Source organism: Homo sapiens, chromosome 7, assembly GCF_000001405.40.
Source record: "Homo sapiens chromosome 7, GRCh38.p14 Primary Assembly".
Taxonomy (NCBI): domain Eukaryota; kingdom Metazoa; phylum Chordata; class Mammalia; order Primates; family Hominidae; genus Homo; species Homo sapiens.
This window is the reverse complement of record NC_000007.14, coordinates 54,828,525-54,834,747: the sequence shown is the minus strand read 5'-3', so window position 1 is coordinate 54,834,747 and position 6,223 is coordinate 54,828,525. Positions and strand designations below refer to the sequence as shown.

At 44.0% G+C, this 6,223-nt stretch overlaps 2 annotated features.

Moving 5' to 3' along the window:
- Positions 240-431: a silencer, noted in NCBI's record as "fragment chr7:54902010-54902201 (GRCh37/hg19 assembly coordinates)". NCBI's record gives its function as "represses an EF-1alpha promoter that drives an FKBP-Casp9 reporter gene in an ReSE screen in phorbol 12-myristate 13-acetate-treated (for megakaryocytic differentiation) K562 erythroleukemia cells {active_cell/tissue: K562(+PMA)}" and the evidence as "EXISTENCE:reporter gene assay evidence [ECO:0000049][PMID:32094911]".
- Positions 2,732-3,931: an enhancer, noted in NCBI's record as "P300/CBP strongly-dependent group 1 enhancer chr7:54898510-54899709 (GRCh37/hg19 assembly coordinates)". NCBI's record gives its function as "activates an origin of replication core promoter dependent on BRD2, BRD4, P300/CBP, MED14 and CDK7 cofactors, with strong dependence on P300/CBP, by STARR-seq in HCT116 cells {active_cell/tissue: HCT116}" and the evidence as "EXISTENCE:reporter gene assay evidence [ECO:0000049][PMID:35650434]".

Here is a 6,223-nt window from a genome sequence, read left to right as displayed (position 1 = left end):
ATGATAGGCAAATCAGGCGCAAGACTCTGCCTGCAATTAAACCATTGCCTATCAGCCCCAAACCACCTCTCCGCACTCCGCAGTAGTGATTTTCCGGCAATGTCACTGCCAACTCAATTTCTCCTTTGCGGATTGGTCCCTGTTCGCTTCCGCCACTGGGACACTGGACCAGGCACTGGGAGGCGGGAGGAGAGCCGAGGGGACTAGGGCTGTGGCTCCCTGTCCTTCCTGGTAGGGTCCCTCCGCAAGGACGCTTCGACCTGGCAGCAGCAGTTGGTCATCCTCTTCCAGCAGTTCCGGAAGCAGCGCCTCTATGGCCCCTGAGACGTCTGGGGCCCGCCCTGGGCCTTCAAACCCGAGCGGTCCAGGCAGAGAGAAGCAGACGTGCCGCAAAGGCCACATGGTGAGCTTGACGCTAGGGCGCCCCAGCCAAGGCTCTCAGCCTCCACTGCGTGTTAGAATCGTGGGCTCGGGGCCGGGCGCGGCGGTTCAAGCCTGTAATCCCAGCACTTTGGGAGGCCGAGGTGGGCGGATCACGAGGTCGGGAGACCAAGACCATCCTGGTTAACACGGTGAAACCGGTGAGCCGAGATCGCACCACTGCGCTCCAGCCTGGGCGACAGAGTGAGACTCTGTCTCAAAAAAAAAAAAAAAAAAAAAAAGGAATCCTGGGCTAGGAAGCCTGCAGAGTCAGAATCCTAGGGCAGGAGGCCGGCCCTGTAGAAACGGGTGGGAGCCGGCCACCCGGGATGAGACAGGGTCAGCCAGGAGCCAGGCCCCAACCATTTAGCTGCCGTCCAGGCACCCTCCGGAAGCTTCCCTGCGCCTGCTTTGAACCCATGGTTGCCAAGCGCGGTTACTCATGCCTGTAGTCCCAGCACTTTGGGAGGCCGAGGCAGGCGGATCACGAGGTCAGGAGTTCGAGACCAGCCTGGCCAACATAGCGAAACCCCATCTCAACTAAAAATACAAAAATTAGCTGGGCGTGGTGGCAGGCGCCTGTAATCCCAGCTACTCAGGAGGCTGAGGCAGGAGAATCGCTTGAACCCGGGAGGCGAAGGTTGCACTGAGCCGAGATCGCGCCATTGCACTCCAGCCTGGGGACAGAGCAAGACTCCGTCTCAAAACAAACACAAACAAAGACAAACAAACAAAAAAGAACTCATGGCTGAGAAATGCCGGCCGGATCTCAGCTCCTCTCGGCCCGCGTGTCCAGAAATCGACACGGATTCTAATCAGGGGTTGAGAGACATGAAGAGCCCACCCCCCTCCATCCCACCTGCCGCCAGCACCAGCCCGCACCGCTCTAGGAGCCGCCACCGCTGCGGCCACCGCTGCGGCTTCCCTCGCATGGCCGCAGGGCCTGGAACCAGTGCGCGCCTCGGATGCAGGCTTCGCGAAGATTCGGCAGCCGCAGGGCCGGGCGCCTGGCCACCAGCCTGCACTGCTCCTGCTGTGTTGTGCCAGCCTCAAGCCAGATTTACGTTGCTTCTGGAAAAGAAACGCGTCATTACTCATCCAGGCTCGGAAACAAGCGGCACTTCAGCCTCGTCGCCGTCCCCTGGCTGCACAGGGCGGGCGACTTGGGCCGGCGAGGCCAGGGCTGGACACGGTTCGGGATGAACGCTCCCTGACCCACGTCTGGCCTGCTGCCCACTCAGCCCTGCATTATGGAAGAGTCACTCAGCGTCGCTGCACGCCTCGGTGCCCCTATTCACAAACCTGCAGCCCAGTCCTGGGCTTCCTCCCCCAGATGGAGCAGGCAGGGCTCCAGGACCAGTCCTGTGTGAACCCCAGGCCAGCGAGGTGCAGTCCTGGCCCTCTTAGGAGGAGAATCCTTAGGATCACCTTCCTCTACTCTGCGCTTCTATTGAAAAACCGCATTGCAAGAGGGAAGTGGTGGGGCAGGGAATGGGGAGGCTTTTCTACTTTGTTTGAAATGGCATTACAGCTTCTCTGATTTTAAGAGTAATACATTATCATCGCAAAAAACTCAAGGCAAAAATAATTTCTGTGATATCAACTTCTAGAGATAATTTCTACTAGTATTTTATTGTATTTTTGAGGTACATATTATGAAAAGAGAAAGAGGATAGGTGTATTTTAAAACCAACAATGATTTAATCTTTTTAATGATGTTTAAATGCTTTAATGCTATTTTGTTTACTTTATTTCCATCTGCTATAATCTTTTAACTACTGTTTTGTAAAAATACTCACTAAGATAACTCCTAACACCTTTTCTACTTTATATTTTTTGTGTATTTTTTCAGTGTTTGAAAGTTGTATGGTATATTTTAGAGGACGTGGAATAGATTTTTTAAAAGAATATGTATTGAATCAAATGGTGCACTTAATTCAGCCTAATGTCTTCAAGGTTTACCCATGTTGCAGAAATGTGTTAGAATTTCCTTCCGTGTAAAGGCTGAATAATATTCCATTATATGTGTATATCACATTTTCTTTTTATGGTAGTAAACATTTTATTTTTATTTATTTTTTAGTTGACAGAAAAATTGTTTGTATTTATTATGAACAACATGATGTTCTGAAGTACAGTAGTCTTCCCTTATCTGCAGTTTCCTTTCTGCGGTCTCAGTTACTTGTGGTCAACCATGGTCCAAAAGTGTTAGATGGAAAATTCCAGAAATTAAGAATCAGTTTTAAATTGTGTGCCATTCTCAGTAGTGTGATGAAATATCATACTGTCCCGTCCATCACACCCAGGATGTGAATCATCCCTTTGTCCGGCGTACCTGGGCTGTTATACACTACCTGCCCATTAGTCACTTAGCTGTCTTGGTGATCAGACTGACTGCCAAGTATAGTGTGTAAACCAAAAAGTATCTGAGAAAGGTCTCCATCAATTCAGAAGTTAATTTTGCCAAGGTTAAGGAAATGCCCGCAAGGGAGGTCTGTGCCTTGCTCCAAAGACGATTCTGAGGGCTTTGGTATTTAAAGGGGAAAGAGGGAAGTTGTGGTTACATGACTGAATCCATGTGTTGCAAGAGAAAAGGAGCAGGTAGGGGAATAGCCTATTATGTGTTCTTCTAGCTCTCAGTAAATCGGCGCTTCACTTAAGATAAGGTGAGGGTACAGTAGCTACCTGTGGAGATGTTTAACCTTTTATCTGTACTACTCTGCTTGGGAATAAAAGGAAAAGCAGCTTCTTGCATGACTCAGCTTTCAGCTTAATATTTTCTTTTAGCAGAGTGAAATTAGGTTCCTAAGTTTTGGTTTTCCTTTCGCAAGTATATGTAGGGTTTGGTACTATGCATGGTTTCAGGCATTTACTGAGGGTCTTGGAATGTATCCTCTTGGAATGGATAAGTAGGGACTACTGTATATATACATTGTGGAATGGCTAAATCTAGCTTGCATTATCTCACATAGTTGTCATTTTTGTGGTGGGAACACTTAACATCCTCATTCAATTTTTACACGCAGGTACTGAGTGTCTACCATGTACCAGATTCTGCTCTGATACTGGGGACAGAAGAGAGACAGGCCACACCCTGAACCCACGGAGCCAGGAGCGATGATGAATAAGAAAACAAACAAAAAAAATTGAGCAAGATGATTTCAAAGTGTGGCATTAGGTAGTAATAAACAAGATGATGAATGAGTAGGCAAGGGGTGGGAGAAGGTTATTCAGATAGGATGGTCTGGAAAGGTCTCTGTAGAGGTTGTGTTTGATCTAAGAGCTGAAGGATAAGAAAGACTCGGGGATAGAAGGGACTTGAAATATTACAAGAATGGAAGGGAGGCTAAACTGCTGAAATACCCGTGTGCATGTATGTGTACGTGTGTGTGTGCATGCATGTGTGTGCATGCATGTGTGTGTGTGGTGATGAAAGACAGATGAGGCTAGAGAGAGCCTTTTATTATTGCAAAATATTATGTTTGAAGAGTTTTAAGCTTACGAATGAGACAACCTGATTATTAGATTTAAAAAGATGGTCCTGGCTGCTTTATGAATTAACATTTGTGTAAAGTTTTACAGTTTACACAGTATTTTCCCATTCATAGTCTCATTTTATCCTCATTCCAGACTTTTGAAAAGGTCTTCCTCATTCCCCTTTATTTTTCATTTGTGATAAGAACACTTAACATGAGATTTACCTTCTTAACAGATTTCAAGTGTACAATACAGTATTGTTAACTGTAGGCATGACGCTGTACATCAGATCTCTATAACTTATTGATTTCACAAAACTGCAATTTTATATCCATTGGACTGTAACTTCCCCTTCTCCTCTCCCTCCAGCCCCTAGCAAACACCATTCTACTCTCTGCTTTTATGAAATTGACAGTTTTAGATTCCTTATGTAAGTGAAATCATGCAGTATTTACCTTTCTGTGACTGACTTAGCATAATGTCCTCAAAGTTCATCCATGTTTTCACATGTTGCGGAATGTCCTTCTTTTCTAAGGCTGAATAGTATTCCACTGAATGTATACACCAAACTTTCTTGATTCGTTTACCTTCCAATGAATATTTAGGTTGTTTCTACATCTTGACTATTGTTAATAATGCTGCAATGAACGTGGGAGTATTAATTTCTCTTCAAGATCCTTATTTCAATCCTTTTGAATAAATACCCAGAAGTTGAACTGTTGGATCATATGTTAGCTCTATTTTTAATTTTTTGAGGCACTTCAATACTGTTTTTCATTATGGCTGCACAATTTTACATGCCCACCAACTATGTACAAGGGATTCAATTTCTCTGTATCCTCACCGACATTTGTTGTCTTTGTTTTTTTGATAATAGACATCTTAACAGGAGTAGGGTGATATCTCACATTGTGGTTTTGATTTGCAATTTCTTCGTGATTAGTGACACTGAGCAACTTTTCATATACAAGTTGGCCATTTGTATGTTTTCTTGAAGAAATGTCTATTCAGGTCTTTAGCTCATTTAAAAATTGTGCTACCAGGTTGTTTTTTTTTTTTTTTTTTTTTTTTTTTGCTATTGAGTTTTAGCAAATATTGTAGCAAATATGTTTCTTAAGTATTTTGGAAATTAACTCCTTATCACACGTATGGCTCACAAACATTGGAAAACTGGGAATAAATGTGGCTAACTCAGTGTATGAGTCCATTTTTGTGTTACTATAAAGAAATATCTGAGGCTGAGTAATTTATAGAGAAAAGAGGTTTATTTGGCTCACGGTTCTGCAGGCTGTACAGGAAGCATGGCACTAGCATCTGCTTTTGCTGAGATCTCAGGAAGCTTCCAATCATGGCAGAAGGCAAAGGGGAACCAGTGTGTCACATTGCAAGAGAAGAAACAAAAGAGAGAGGAGGTAGTTCCAGGCTCTTTTGAACAATCAGATCTTTTGTGAACTCATAGTGTGAGAACTCAAAGATGGCACCAAGCCATTCATGAGGGATTTACCCCCATGATCAAAACACCTCCCGCCAGGTCCCACCTCCAACATTGGAGATCACATTTCAACATGAGATTGGGAGAGACAAAACATCTAAACTATAGCACTCTGCAAAGGTCACAGTGGTAGAATTGCACCCATGTCTTCTGACTCAAAATGTCTTCAAGACACTTTTGGACAATCACTACTTTCTTTCACATACTTATTTATTTCCATTACAATTTTAGTTATCTAAGTGAATGGACAAAAAATGTCAGTTAGCTGCCTGCTACTTTAACAGAACCATGTTAAATGCTAAATAGATACTTCAGTTCAGATGTATTTCTTGTGCTCAGTCCAGTTGGACTGTAGTTGGAGAGCCCAGACATATTTTCATGTATAATTAATGTGGGACTAAAACAAAAAGCATTAAGAAAGTTACCAGAGATTGTCAAGAGTAATTTTTAAGGAGTTCAGACATGAGGCCCATTCTATAAAATGAGTACACATTGGACAGGTCATGGGATGAAGAAGTGCATTTTGGGAGATTTAAAAAATTGGTAGCCAAGAATTTAACATCCCCATCCCTACACTACATAATCATAATACCCACAACTTCCCCCTCCAAAAAACTGAACTGCGGTATAAATAAAACCAACATGCCATCTTCACAAAAGTCCCCAGCTAGCAACCCTCAGTCTTTCCAGTCACAGAACTGTCCCAGAGTCTCTCCTTTATAGAAATTTTGGAACTACTAATGAACAAGCCAGGAATATTTGAAAACAAAAGCACTGAGGTTGAAATTTGTAAAATGCATTTGGAGGATGGGAAGGTAGATGACATTGTAAAAC